At 48.4% G+C, this 14,076-nt stretch overlaps 1 protein-coding gene across 24 annotated transcripts in view; it reads left to right on the forward strand.

Annotated features, from left to right (window-relative positions):
- The window catches only part of CCDC197 (coiled-coil domain containing 197), a 24,471-nt gene extending 15,238 nt beyond the window's left edge, over positions 1 to 9,233 (forward strand). For 16 of the 24 annotated variants that reach the window (NR_024184.2, XM_047431194.1, XM_047431188.1 and 13 more), the window contains 3 exons: positions 761 to 892; positions 2,393 to 2,509; positions 6,147 to 6,401. Coding sequence is in view for 18 of the 24 variants with exons in the window: in XM_047431194.1 (XP_047287150.1) it covers positions 761 to 892; positions 2,393 to 2,509; positions 6,147 to 6,350 (453 nt within the window). In the remaining 6 variants the exon portion in view is untranslated. Of the gene's footprint in view, positions 1 to 760; positions 893 to 2,392; positions 2,510 to 4,548; positions 5,091 to 6,030; positions 6,122 to 6,146; positions 6,402 to 8,408; positions 8,632 to 8,748; positions 9,063 to 9,159 lie in introns of those variants that run through there. The other 8 variants (NR_024182.1, NM_001411045.1, XM_047431190.1 and 5 more) reach the window with 5 other exon arrangements.

The raw sequence follows: 14,076 nt of genomic DNA on the forward strand, positions 1-14,076 counted from the left end.
TCTTTCAAATTCCTATCCCACAGGGCCTGGCCAGGGGCATGTATTAGTTCCTTCTCATGCTGCTAATAAAGAAACACCTGAGACTGGGTAATTTATAAAGAAAAAGGGGGCCAGGTATGGTGGCTCACTCCTGTAATCTCAGCACTTTGGGAGGCCAAAGCGGGCAGATCATTCGAGGTCAGGAGTTCAAGACCAGCCTGGCCAACATGGTGAAACCCCATCTCTACTAAAAATACAAAAATTAGCCAGGCATGGTGGTGTGCGCCTATAATCTCAGCTAATTAGGAGGTTGAAGCAGGAGAATCACTTGAACCCAGGAGGCGGAGGTCGCAGTAAGCCAAGATTGTTCCGCTGCACTCCAGCCTGGGCAAAAAGAGTGAGACTGTCTCAAAAAAAAAAAAAAAACAAAATTATAAAGAAAAAGAGGTTTAATGGACTCGCAGTTCTACATGGCTCGGGTGACCTGACAATCATGGTGGAAGGTGAAGGAGGAGCAAAGGCACATCTTACCTGGTGGCAGGCAAGAGAACTTGTGTAGGGGAACTCCCCTTTATAAAATTATCAGGAACTGGGGCTCAGGTAAACTCCATCAGCCTGGACACGCCCTTTTCTGCATCTCTGGTGCCTTGAATGGCCCCAGCCACCCACAAGTATTCCTTCCTCCTATCCTGTCATTGCACAGACCACCCTGGGGACTCAGACCAGGGCATATGCCCTGGAGGGTTTGTTGTACCAAGATGGCCCATTCCCTCTGCCCCAGAGCCTCAAGATCCGGCTGTGTCAGCTGCAGAAGAAGTGCTACCGCAAGCAGGAGCAGTGGTGGCAGCTGAAGCACAGCATCACTTACCAGAAGGACATTGACTTTGACACACACACCAGCAGCAGCTATAATGTGAGTCCAGTCTTTCAGCCTGGGGGTGGGGTTAGGGGTGGGGAAGGGGAAGCTGATGTCTCCATCATCAATCCCAAAACACACAGACACATACGCACGCAGACACACACACACAGAGCCAGACACATAGACACACAGGCACACACACAGCCAGACACACACACCCACAGACATAGTCACAGCCAGACACATAGACACACAGACACAACCAGACATATAGACAGACCCAGCCAGACACATACACACAAATGCACAGACACACACAGACACACACACAGACATGCAAACACACGCACAGACACACAGACACATACACACACAAAGACACATGCAGAGACATACATAGAGACAGACACACACACAGACAGACCCACACCACTTTCTTCTCCTTGGTGACAGTTTGCTTTCAAAGGGCCTCTCTTTGAGGGGTCCGATGTTACTTCACAGATGGGAAAACTGAGGCCACAGATATTTCAGGACAGAGCTCTGCCAAGAACCAGAGCCGGGATCCACCGGCCCAGTCCCAGGGCTTGGTGTTGTGCCGAGCTCTTAGTCCTTGTATAATGTTTGTGGTTAATAATAAGATAACGGTGTTTAAGTGAGTGGTTGTTATGTACTGTCTTCAGTAAGGCTGGTGTCTCTCTGATCAGAGAGTCTGACCTGGAGTAGGTGTTCTTAAATATTGGTGAATTTTACCCACACTCATTTTACAAATGAGAAAAATGAGGCTCAGAAAGAACAAGTCATGGCCAAAGTCCATGGCCATGAATTCCAGGGATTCCAGAATTCAGCTCTTGCACTGCCCCTTACTGGCCTTGGGAGTGTGGTCTGGTCACCCCTGGACCCCGGTTCCTCGCCATAAACGGAGGCAACAGTCTATGTTCTTCTGGCCTCCGGGACTGCGGGAGGACAGTTAGGACCATGGCTTGGGCACAGGGCTGCGCTGGGCACACCTTCCCTGCACAGGATGAGGTCATGGAGTGAGTGTGAGACCTGCTCAGGTCCAGACTGACTGGGCCTCGAGGGATCTGAGTTTGGAAGACGAGGCTTGGGGGCTATTGGCTGCTGACCTCCAGCCAAGGCAAGGGGCTTAGGGAGGGAGCTGGGTGGGTCACAGTCTACAGAGCCCCTTTGAGGTCTCTCTCTCTAAGCTGCTGCAGCAGACCAGGATCCTGGAGGTCTGAAGTCCAGGGCCCCACTCCATGCCCCTTCCCAGTCCTCTGCTTCTAACGAGGTGTGGACCCCGATGCCTCCAGCCAGGAAGCCCTTCTGAAAGGAGTTAGTCCAACCTGCCTCTTTGCAGAGGAGGCTGCTCAGGCTCTGACGTAGGGAGGAACTCAACCGAGCCCCGCAGGAGAGGAATATAGACCATGATGAGAAGGACACTCCCAGTGTCCCAGCTCTGTCCACGACACTTCGCTGGCTGGAGTGAGCCAGGGCAGGGGCAGGGGATGCTGGGAGAGAGCCTGAGCCACCACCTCCTCCTTCTCTTTCCTGCAGGATCAGCTGCTCGGCTACATGCAAATGACCATCACCAACATGGCCCGGCAGTGCTGCCCCTCTGCCCACGGCGTGCCCAAGAGCATGGATCTCTTCTCCAAGCTCGATCTGATTAAGGTAAGGATAGACAGATGGCTGCGGGGCTCCTGACTGCCCCAGGCAAGACTCCAACTTGAGCTAGTCCTGCTCCTTAGCCCAGGCTGCATTTGTGTTTAGCCCCCCATCAGCTCTTCTTTCCATAGCTACATTGGTGCCTGGTGCAGTAAGGTCCTAAGGTCTCTATTAGTCTACAAACTTGAGCACCCACTAGGTGAAGGGTCAGTGTAGAAGGTGCATAGAGGAACTTCCCACCTGGTCTTCATATGTAGCTCCACACTGACACATCACACACAGGCACACGCACACACACAGTACACACCCATCAACATCCATGTGTGCTTTCTGCACACCCACACATGAGACATACACAGACACACCTGCAAATAAGCACACAAACATCAACTTGCACGCACGAAGATACAAACAGGTATGATCACACTTACACATATGAGAACGCTGGCAGCGGGCATTTCAGTGACTGAGGGAGCCTCTTGCACAGGGTCCTCACCTTAAACTTCACACTGTCAGTCCACTGGGCTTCTTTCCTCACCGCCCCCATCAGTCAGGATGCTGTTACTGCAGTAACAGAAAACGTGATCAGATTGGCTTTGATTGACAACACAGCATGTCTTTTTAAAATAATAACTTTATTGAGATATAATTCACATACCATAACATTTAGCCCTTACAATTATGCATGTCCGTGTTTTCAGTATAGTCAAAATTGCACAGCCATTACCCCTCTCTAATTCCAGAACATTTCATCACCCCCAAAAAGATACATTTAGCGTCTGGCTGCTTTCATTTAGCGTCTGGCTGCTTTCATTTAGCATAATGTTTTCAAGGTTCATCCATGTCCCAGCACGAATCAGTGCTTTATTTTTATAGCTGAATAGTCCATGGTATGGGCGTATTTATATGGATAGAACTTTTGTTTATCCATTCATCAGTTGACGGACATCTGGATTGTTACATTCCTTAGGTATTATGAATATTACTGCTAAGAACATTTGTGTACACATTTTTATGCAGAGATATGTTTTCACTTCTCTTTGGTACGTACCTAGGAGTGCAATTGCTGGGTCATCTCTTAACTCTATGTTTAACATTCGAAGAACTGCCAAACTCTTTTCCAAAGTGGCTGCACCATTTACCATCCCCATGATCAATGTACGAGGGTTCCAATTTCTCCACATCCTTGCCAACATTTGCTATTGTCAACTTTTTCTAATTTAGCCCTCCTAATGGGTGTGAAGTGGCATCTCATTGTGGTTTTGATTTGCACTTCTCTGATGACTAATGATGTTGAGTATCTTTTCATGTGCTTATTGGCCATGTGTATCTCTCCTTTGGAGAAATGTCTATTCAAATTATTTGCCCATTAAAAAATTTGATTATTTGTATTTTTTTTTTTTTTGAGACAGAGTCTCACTCTCTTGCCCAGGCTGGAGTGCAATGGCACTTCTCGCTCGGCTCACTGCAACCTCTGCCTCCCGGGTTCAAGCAATTGTCTTGCCTCAGCCTCCCAAGTAGCTGGGACTACAAGGCATGCACCACCATACACGGCTAAGTTTTGTATTTCTATTAGAGACGGGGTTTCACCATGTTGGCCAGGCTGGTCTCGAACTCCTGACCTCAAGTGATCCACCCGCCTCGGCCTCCCAAAGTGCTGAGATTATAGGTATGAGCCACTGTTCCCGGCCTATTTGTCTTTTTTTAGTTGAGTTGTAAGAATTCTTTTTGCATTCTGGATACAGGTCCCTTATCAAATATATGATTGCAAATATTTTCTATCTTGCATGTTATCTTTTTACTATCTTGATGAAGCACAGAAGTTTTGAATTTTTATGGAATCCAATTTGTTTGTTTGTATTTTTGCTTGTTTGTTTGAGACAGGGTCTCAGTCTATCACCCAGGCTGGAGTGCAGTGGCGCCATCTTGGCTCACTGCAACCTCCGCCTCCTGGGTTCAAGCGATTCTCCTGACTCAGCCTCCCCAGTAGCTGGGACTACAGGCATGCGCCACCACACCTGGCTAATTTTTGTATTTTTTGGTAGAGACAGGGTTTCACCAAGTTGGCCAGGCTGGTCTTCAACTCTGACCTCAAGTGATCCACCTGCCTCGGCCTCCCAAATTGCTAAGATTACAGATGTGAGCCACTGCATCCGGCCGAGAATCCAACAGTTTTACTTTGGGTATGTGTATGTATTTGTCCTTTAGGAGTCATATCTAAAAAGCCATTACCTAATCCAGGGTCATGAAGATTTACACCTGTTTCTTGTGAGAAGTTTATAGTTTTTGCTCTACTGTTTAGGTCTGTGGTTCATTTTCAGTTGATTTTTTAATATAGTGTAAGGTAGGGGTCCAATTTCATTATTTCGCATGAGGATATTCAGTTGTCCTGATACCATTTGTTTAAAAAGTTCTATTTTTCCCCTTTGAGTTTTCTCAGGACCCTTGTCAAAAATCAATTGACCGTAATATGAAAAGTTTATTTCTGGATTCTTGATTCTATTCCATTCATCGCTACGCCTGTTTTTATGCCAGTACCATACTGTCTTTATTACTGTGGCTTTGTAATAAATATTAAAATTGAGAAGTGTGAGTCTTCCAACTTTGTTCTTTTCTGAGGTCATTTGGCTCCTCTACCAGGGCACATCTTGTGTCATGAGTGGAAGTTTGGTGCCTGGGTGGGTTTCAGGCATGGTGTGATCCTAGGCTCAGAGGCATCATCAAAGACCCATCCTTTCCATACTCTCCTGTCTTCTACCTTTAGCACTGACTTCATCCTAAGTCAGAACTTGCTTACCTCATTTGAGGCAGGTTCCGTGCAGATATCCAAACACGGGATACTTAGCTCCCCAGGAACCCTGAGGGGCAGGTCTCTTCCCTAGTGTCCAGTGCAACAGTCAGCAGTGAGCAAGCCTGTGGCTCAGTTCAGAAGGACTTCTCCAGGAGCCTCACAGGCAGTACCGAGGCTGCTGCATGGCACAACTCAGTGGGCACCATTCAGTTGAAGTCTGTGTAATTGGCATCCCTAGTTATATACAACTTGGAACTTATTCATATTGCAAAGAAATGAGATTTCTGAGTAAGGACATGTTTGTCTAAATAGTCACAGTGTATTAATTTCATCTTCTTCCCAAGAAAAGGGAAGAAATTATGTGGTGATGTCACAGGGTCCCAAGCAACAATCAGATTGGGCCTCTGGATTGACATCTGTCAGTCACTCAGCCAACATGAATTGAGCCACCTGAATATGCTCAGCATTCTGCTAGGCAACAGGAGATGGAGGCCCATCTGGTCCTTAAGAAACGAATGCCCTTCAGAGAGGGAGGCTGGGGACAGTCAGGGTGGGCTTCTTGGAAGAGGCAGTGAGAAGAGGCAGGCAACCACTTTCAGGAAGTCACACCAGGATCTGGACTCCTAGTCATCCAGCTCTGTCACTCCTGGCTGTGCCACATCAGACAAGTCACCTAACCTCTCTGAGCCTCTGTTTGCTCATTTACCCAGTGGCATTGATACCACATCCTTTGCAGGGCGCTTGTGAGAGTTAAAGGAGAAGTAGGTCAGCCTTTGATGATGCTTTGGTACCTAGAAAGCAGCGTCCAGAGGCCAAAACACTGTCAGGTGAGAGATTTATTTTCCCTCCCAGGAGTTCATGTTGGACAAAATGGAGACTGTAAGACTGATCGCACTGCTCACGGAACCCAAAGTGTGCTGGTCATGGGACAGCTTCGGGGACCAGTGGCTCAGAAGACACCCCAAACCCTTCAGGAAATGTCCAAGGAGGCGGGTTTCCACCCCCAGGACCCCCTTTCCCAGCCCCCATGCTTCAGAGTGCTCCGGCCTGTACTGACCAGCCTGCGCCTTGCAGGCCCCATGGCATCACGACCTCTCCTTACCTGCCTGCCTCCTTTTCTCACCACCAACATCTCTAAGCCAGTGGGAGAGAGTCTGGGGGCATTGAGGGGGTGGTCAGGGTCCTGGGCTCAGCTAGGGTTGGGGGTGCTGCTCCCCATCCTGGGGGATTGGCAGGGATCCAGGTAAGGCCTGCCTGGGATCCGGGAGAGAGAGGCAGGTTCCCGAGTTGGGGGCAGCAGCCAGGCTGGAAGATCCTGGGCTGAAGACTCCCTCCTGGGAGCCGGGGCTACATCTCTCACTTTCATGGTGGGTTCCTGAGACTGAGGAGCTTTGGACGGATGCTTGGCTGTTGGGAATGTCCCAGTCACAGGACACTGTAAAGAGCCACCAGGGCCATGGGATCGATGGGAGTTCACCTTGCCCACAGCAGTCTGCAGAGCTAATGGGGGTGCTGAATGTGTAGGGGGCATCTCATCACTTTCTTCCAGAAGTTGAGTACCAGGTTGGTACCTTCTGCCCATCCTGCAGGTGTCTGAGCTGCCTGAAATGGTTGGTACTCTCAGGGAGACCTTGGCAAGGCAAGGTCCCTCTCTGGGCTGGTTTTTCTACCTGTAAAATTGGGAGAGAGTGTCGGACACAGTGGCTCACACCTATAATCCCAAGCACCTTGGGAGGCAGAGGCAGGAGGATCACTTGAGCCCAGGAGTTCAAGACCAGCTTGGGCAACATAGGGAGAGCCTGTCTCTATAAAAAATGAAACAATTAGCCAGACATGGTGGCACACACCTGTGATTCCAGCTACTTAGGAGGCTGAGGTGGGAGGATCACTTGAGCCTGGGAGGTCAAGGCTGCAGTGAGCCGTGATTGTGCCACTGCACTCCAGTGTGGGTGACAGAGCGAGACCCTGTCTTTAAAAAAAACAGGGGTGGTGGTGAGAGGATATTTAAGCCTCCCACTCCAGTCTGACATTCTAGGTCAAGTTTGGAAAAGCCAGGTCTGCACAGAAGGCACTTGCTTGCTTTCGTTGTGCCACTGGGGTAAAATCATTCTAGCAACCACCACAGCCCCAAAAATAATTCAGCTCTAGAGGTCAGCTGCTGTTAATTTATCTAGGTAAAGGCAGAAAGTTAAGAGCAGCTGCTGAGCTGTGAACAGTGGTGAGTCAGCACATGAACTTTCAAAGGGGAGTTTTAGAAAAGAAAAGATGCTGACTGTCAGCCAAGAACCTCGAAAGCCCGCTTGACTCCAGGTGCTGCTGGGAGAGGGTGGGGGATAAGTCAGGCTTGGCCAGGGAGTTAAATAGGAAAGATACACGGAAGAAGGAAGGCTGATTGTGGCCAGGTTTTAAGAGTAGTAGAGTTATATTTTGGGGTGTTTGTTTGTTTGTTTGTTGTCGTTGTTTTTGAGACTGAGCCTTGCTCTGTGACCCAGGCTAGAGTGTAGTGGCACAATCTCTGCTCACTGCAACCTCCACCTCCCGGGTTTAAGCGATTCTCCTGCCTCAGCCTCCCAAGTAACTGGGACTACAGGCGCGTGCCACCATGCCTGGCTAATTTTTATATTTTTAATAGAGATGGGGTTTCACCATGTTGGCCAGGCTGGTCTTGAACTCCTGACCTCAGGTGATCCGCCCGCCTTGGCCTCCCAAAGTGCTGGGATTACAGGCATGAGCCACTGTGCCCAGTGAGTAGTGTAGTTTTTAAAAGGAGAGCCAGGAGGGAGCCGCTGTTCCGAGTTTCTTGTCTCATAGACCTTCACAGGAAAGAGGGCACCTCAGGTAGGGTTTGAGTGGGATCTCAGAAGGAAGAGGCTGCACTAAAGAAAAGGGACAGAAACGCCGGAGTAGGGACTTGCATTTTGGCTGGAGCATGCGGAACCCCCTGAGCAGTCTGAGAAGGTGGCTGGGGGACCACGTGGGGCCCCAAACACCAGGCTGAGGTTTAGACTCCATCAAGGGCGGTGCAAGGGGAGCCTCACACACTCATGCCTCTCTGTTCTCTGTCTTTCCCACTCTTTCCAAAGCAAGCTAAAGTATCCCATTAATCTTCCCCAGTGCAGAGGATTAAGCTGGTGGCTCTCAGGTTTGAACACGCATCAGGAGGCCCTGTATCAATGCAGAGTGTGGACCCACCTCCAGAGCTTCCAGGCCCTAGAATCTGCATTTCTAACAAGTCCCCAGATGTGGCAGATGCTGCTGGTCCTGGGGTTACATTTTGAAAACCACTGCTTTAGAGTAATGGCAAATCCTACATGCTGAAGCCAGGCACTGCTCCACTGTAACCACCAACTACCCCTGCCTGGACTTCGGAATTCCCTCTGCACGATGGGGCTGGACCGGGCATTCCAGGAGGGCTGCCCTAATCCTGTCTGACCTCCCGGGAGGTGCTGGAGAGAGCACCACCTTCTACGCCCAGGGTGAAGTTCTGTGGCTTGTTGACTGTGCCTTCGAGGGCTCTATGTCATTCTGTCCCCTATCACCTGCCTGCTGTGCACCTGTCGTGCTTGATCTAGCTCAGACATTTTGTCACACTCCTTGGGGAGGAGCGGGATTGGAACAGTTGCTTGGCGTGGCAATGGCCTGGCCACCAGTCGACATTTGCAGCCAGCATCTGGGTACCTTGGGAGCTCCCAGCCTCCCCTGGGCAGGGCTGGGGCCGTGAATTGGACACGGCATTGCGCTTAACAGCGCGGCTACCTCAGGCTGCTGGTAAGTACCAGAATGCTGTTTCTCCTTTCTTGGCTTTTTGTCTTACAGAAAGCTCGCTCCCCCATGACCCTGCACCTTCAAAGCACTTTTCTCATAGGTTCTATATTAGCTGGAGAAAAACCTTCAAGGGCATTTGGAGAAAAAATAAAAAGCACTAGTTCAGGTACCTTACGAAATGTCATTTCATTTGACCTTCCAACTGGACCGTGGGATCCCAAGACACCAACAGTCCCGGGCTTGGACATTTTGAGACCAAGAGCTCATTACCTGCCAGTGAATCCCAGCTTTAAGCAACTTCAAGCATGAGAAAATTCTTCCCACAGACTATCCTGGAAGAATTGGATTATTGCCAAATGGCTGGTGCTGGGGAAGTTGGCTCTTGGGAGGGGGGAATTGGATTGTGTTCTTTTTCAAATTGTGCCCTATCATTCTTTTGAGCAGTGGTTTTCAAACTTTAGTGTTCACTGAAACCACATGTGAGACTTGCTAAAAATGGAGAGAACTGTGGCTTCCTCTTAGAGACTCTGTTTCTAGGGCGAGGCCCCAGAAATCTGGATTTTTAGCATTCTCCCCGGGTGATTCCAACACAGACAGCTCTGAAATCATAGTCAGAGAAACACTGGGCATCTGAATGTCTCTTTCTTTTCCTTCCTTTTCCTCTTCCTCTTCCCTCCCTTCCCTTCCCTTCCCCTCCTCCCCTTTCCTCCCCTCCCCTCCCCTCCCCTTTACTCCCCTCCCCTTTCCTCCTCTCCCCTCCCCTCCCCTTTCCTCCTCTCCCCTCCCCTCCCCTTCTCTTACCTTCCTCTCCCCTCCCCTCCCCTTCCTTTACCTTCCTCTCCCGTCCCCTTCCCCTCCCTTCCCCTTCCTCTCCCCTCCCCTCCCCTTCCTCTCCCCTTCCTCTCCCCTCCCCTCCCTTTCCCTTCCCTTCCTCTCTTTCTTTCTCTCTTTTTCTTTCTTTCGACAGAGCCTCACTCTGTAGCCCAGGCTGTAGTGCAGTGGCGTAATCTCAGCTCACTGCAACCTCCTCTTCCTGGGTTCCAGCAAGTCTCTTGCCTCAGCCTCCTGAGTAGCTGGGATTATAAGCACCTGCTACCATGCCTGGCTAATTGTTGTGTTTTTAGTAGAGACAGGGTTTCACCATGTTGGTCAGGCTGGTCTTGAACTCCTGACCTCAAGTGATCTGCCCGCCTCGGCCTCCCAAAGTGCTACTATTATAGGTGTGAGCCACCGTGCCCAGTCCTGAATGTCAAAAAGAAGAAAACTTGGTCCATATTCACCTGGTCTTCAATAGGGAAGGACTTTGAAAGCATGGAAACGACAGGAGTAACACCCAAAAACAATCTGACAATATAAAAGTTACAAATACGCCTGGTGCAGTGGCTCACACCTGTAATCCCAGCACTTTGGGAGGCCGAGACAGGTGGATCACCTGAGTTCAGGAGATCGAGACCAGCCTGGCCAACATGGCGAAACCCTGTCTCTACTAAAAATACAAAAACTTAGTCAGGCATGGTGGCAGGCGCCTGTAATCCCAGCTACTCAGAAGGCTGAGGCAGGAGAATCACTTGAACCCAGGAGGTGGAGGTTGCAGTGAGCTGAGATTGCACCACTGCACTCCAGCCTGGGTGACAGAGTGAGACTCTGTCTCAAAAAAAAAAAAAAAAAGTTACAAATACATCTACTTCAGAGTGCATCAAAATATCAAAAGACAATAAGCTGGGGGGAAATGGTGAGGAATCTGGGAAAGGATCAATGTTTTTGATATTTATATCAATGTTTTTGATACTTATGAAGTAAAGAAAGAAAAAAAAAATTGACACCAGTTGCTCATATTCAGCAAACCACGAAATAAAATGGCCTATAAACATAAAAATATTTCAACCATACAATTATTGCCTATCAAAATAAAGCAACAGACAAATGCTTTTAAGATGGGCTCACTGTAGAATTGTTTGTATAAACTCCCTGGAAAGCAATTTGCTAAGAGGTCTTGAGAGGCTTAAAAAATGTTTATGTCCTTCAGCTCAGTATGGTCAGCCCTCTGTATACACGGATTCCACACCTTTGGATTCAACCAACCGCAGATCAAAAATATTCAGAAAAAAATCCCATCTCTACTAAAAATATACAAAACTTTATCTAAGCATGGTGGCGTGCGCCTGTAATCCCAGCTACTTGGGAGGCTGAGGCAGGAGAATCGCTCATGAGGGAGGAAGAGGTTGCAGTGAGCCGAGATAGTGGGCAACAAGAGTGAAACTCCATCTCAAAGAAAAAAAAAAAGCCGGGCGTGATGGCTCACGCCTGTAATCCCAGCACTTTGGGAGGCCTAGGAGGGTGAATCACCTGAGGTCAGGAGTTCGAGACCAGCCAGTCCAACATGGCAAAGCCCCGTCTCTACTAAAAGTACAAAAATTAGCTGGGCATGGCGGTGCGCACCTGTTATCTTAGCTACTCGGGAGGCTGAGGCAGGAGAATTGTTTGAACCCAGGAGGCGGAGGTTGCGATGAGCCAAGATGGCGCCACTGCACTCCAGCCTGGACAACAGAGCAAGACTTTGTCTCAAAAAAAAAAAAAAAAAAGAAAAATTCAGGAAAAAAAGAAAAACATTAAAAATTAAAATTACAACAATTAAAAATAACACAAAATTTTAAAAATACAGTACAACAACTATACAGCATCATAGTATTAGGTATTAAAAGTAATCTAGAGATGATTTAAAGTATATGAGGGGATGTGCATAAAATTCTACACCATTTTATATCAGGGACTTGAGTATCTGAGGATTTTGATATGTGTTGGGGGAGTCCTGAAACCAATCCCCCACAGACACTGAGGGACAACTGAAATTCCAGCTCAGGAACTTCTGTCAATAGCACCGAGCTATTATTTGGTTGAAAGTGATAGAAAGCACAACTCAGTTTAGGAGACAAATGAAACGCATTGGCCTCTGAAACTGAAAAGAGCAGGGATTCTTGCTGGAGGCACAGTTAATCAGGAGTACAATGTCAGCAGAATCCAGTCTCTTTGATTCTGAGATTGATCGCCCAGGTCTTGGCTTTATTCTCAGGCTCAGTGTAAACAAGACGCTTCCAGCAACCTCAGGATTGCCAGCACCCTCTGAAGCAGAAGTCAGAGAAGAGAGAATGCCTCTTCCTAGCTACTCCTTGGCCAGTCTCAGGATTCACTCTGATTAGATCACCTTGGGTCATGCACCTCTTTTTAGACAACCGTTAATTAGCCGGGACTAGGCACTGTGTCATTCCTGAACTAATCTCTGTAATGAGGGGGATTCCATCCTCTGGATGGCCAGGCCTGGGCCCAATTTTTGAGATTTAGTGAGATGGAATACCTTTCGTGGCTAGAGGCCATTCCCCGGGAGCCAGTGATGGATGCCACATGAACTACATGGACTCAAACTAGGTGAGGGGCGGTTCCCCCAAAGGGAAATCAGGGCACTGACTCACTGAATTCAGAGGGAGGTTGGACTTGGTACTGGGCAAACAGAAGCAAGAAATGCCCATGACAGATGCCAACAAAGTTTCTGCACAAAGATGTTCATCACATTGTTATAGTAGCCCCAACTGGAACACCCTAAGAATCCTAGAAGAAGAGATTAATGAATTATGCCAAAACATGTTAAGATTCTGCAGCCATTAGCATATTTTCAAAAATATTTAATGTTAGAAAAATGTACAAGGTATAAAGCTAAGTGAAAACAGAAACCAAGAAGGAGTTTTAAAAAGGTAGAATAGAAACTCAATTTAGTAAAAATTGTACATATATAAGAGTAGAAGGAAATCTACTAAAACAATGTTCTAAGCAGGAGGATCAAGACCCTTGGGGAGAGCAGCATATATTAGACCCACCTAGTGTAGTAGACAAAGTGATCAGCCCCAGTAGTGTACATCCACACTCTTGCCAGGCCTCCTGGTGGACAGAACAGTCATCCCCATCTCTTGACTTGGGTTGGCTGTGTGCTTTGGCCCATAAAATATCAGTGGATTATGACACGGAGGCTTAAAACATAATTGTGTAGTGCACTTACCACCCGTGAGCTCACCCATGAAGAGAACCTGCCTCAGGGAGCCCCCCTCTTTCCAGGAGGATGAGAGTCATGTGGTGCAGAGATGGACCCAACCTGCAGCTGGGATGCACCTAAATCAGTCAATCCTCAGCCAACCCACAGACTCATGAGTGAGAGACAAATGCTTCTTCTACCTGCAAGCCAGGGCAAGTTTGAGGTAGCTTGTTACACAGCATGATAGCAATAGCTGCCTGAGACACCTGCACACTTGTTCAAATTCTGTGTTTTCTCCAACCTAAGCATCACCCCTTGTGGGAAACCAGGCCATCCAAGGGCATGGATCCTGTGTCTCAGGAATGCTGGGATGCATAAAAGTGGAGAAGAGCTCTGCCGTGTTAACAGTGGTTATCTCCAGATTGTAGGATTTTTTTATTTTCTTCTTTATACTTTTGTGTATTTTCCAAAGTTTCTGTGATTAACACGTTTTTTTATAACCAGAAAGACTGTATTAAAAAATTAGAAACCAACTCTTCTTGGCACCTCACCAATCCTCACCCTTGGTGTCCCCAAGAACAAGAGGAATTGTCAAATCCTTCACCCACATAACTGTCTTCAAGTCTCTGGAGAAAGGTACTTGGCGCTCCACATATTGGGTTTTCTCAAAGTTCATTAACTCTAGTTCTTGTATGAGCACCTGCCCTGACACCGCCACCACTGCCTACTGCTCTCTGAAGGGGTCCCCTTTGGTCTCTAACTTTAAATCTTGGCGTCCCAACCTGAGTCCTATTCTCCAGGTAAGGAGGCTGGCCAGACAGGGATTGCAGGAAATATCTTGGAGAGGCTTCCCTGCCATGGCCTCAGCTGAAAAGGTGCTGGGCATTCCAGCTCCACTCCCACCCCCTTCACTGGGGGCCAGATGCCCGGCCCAGCCCTGCTCTTGGCTCAGGAGCAGCCAGGCCACTTGGGAGGCCTGTGCTCCCAGGCTGTAAG

The sequence above is a fragment of the Homo sapiens genome, chromosome 14 (assembly GCF_000001405.40).
Source record: "Homo sapiens chromosome 14, GRCh38.p14 Primary Assembly".
Classification (NCBI taxonomy): Eukaryota; Metazoa; Chordata; class Mammalia; order Primates; family Hominidae; genus Homo; species Homo sapiens.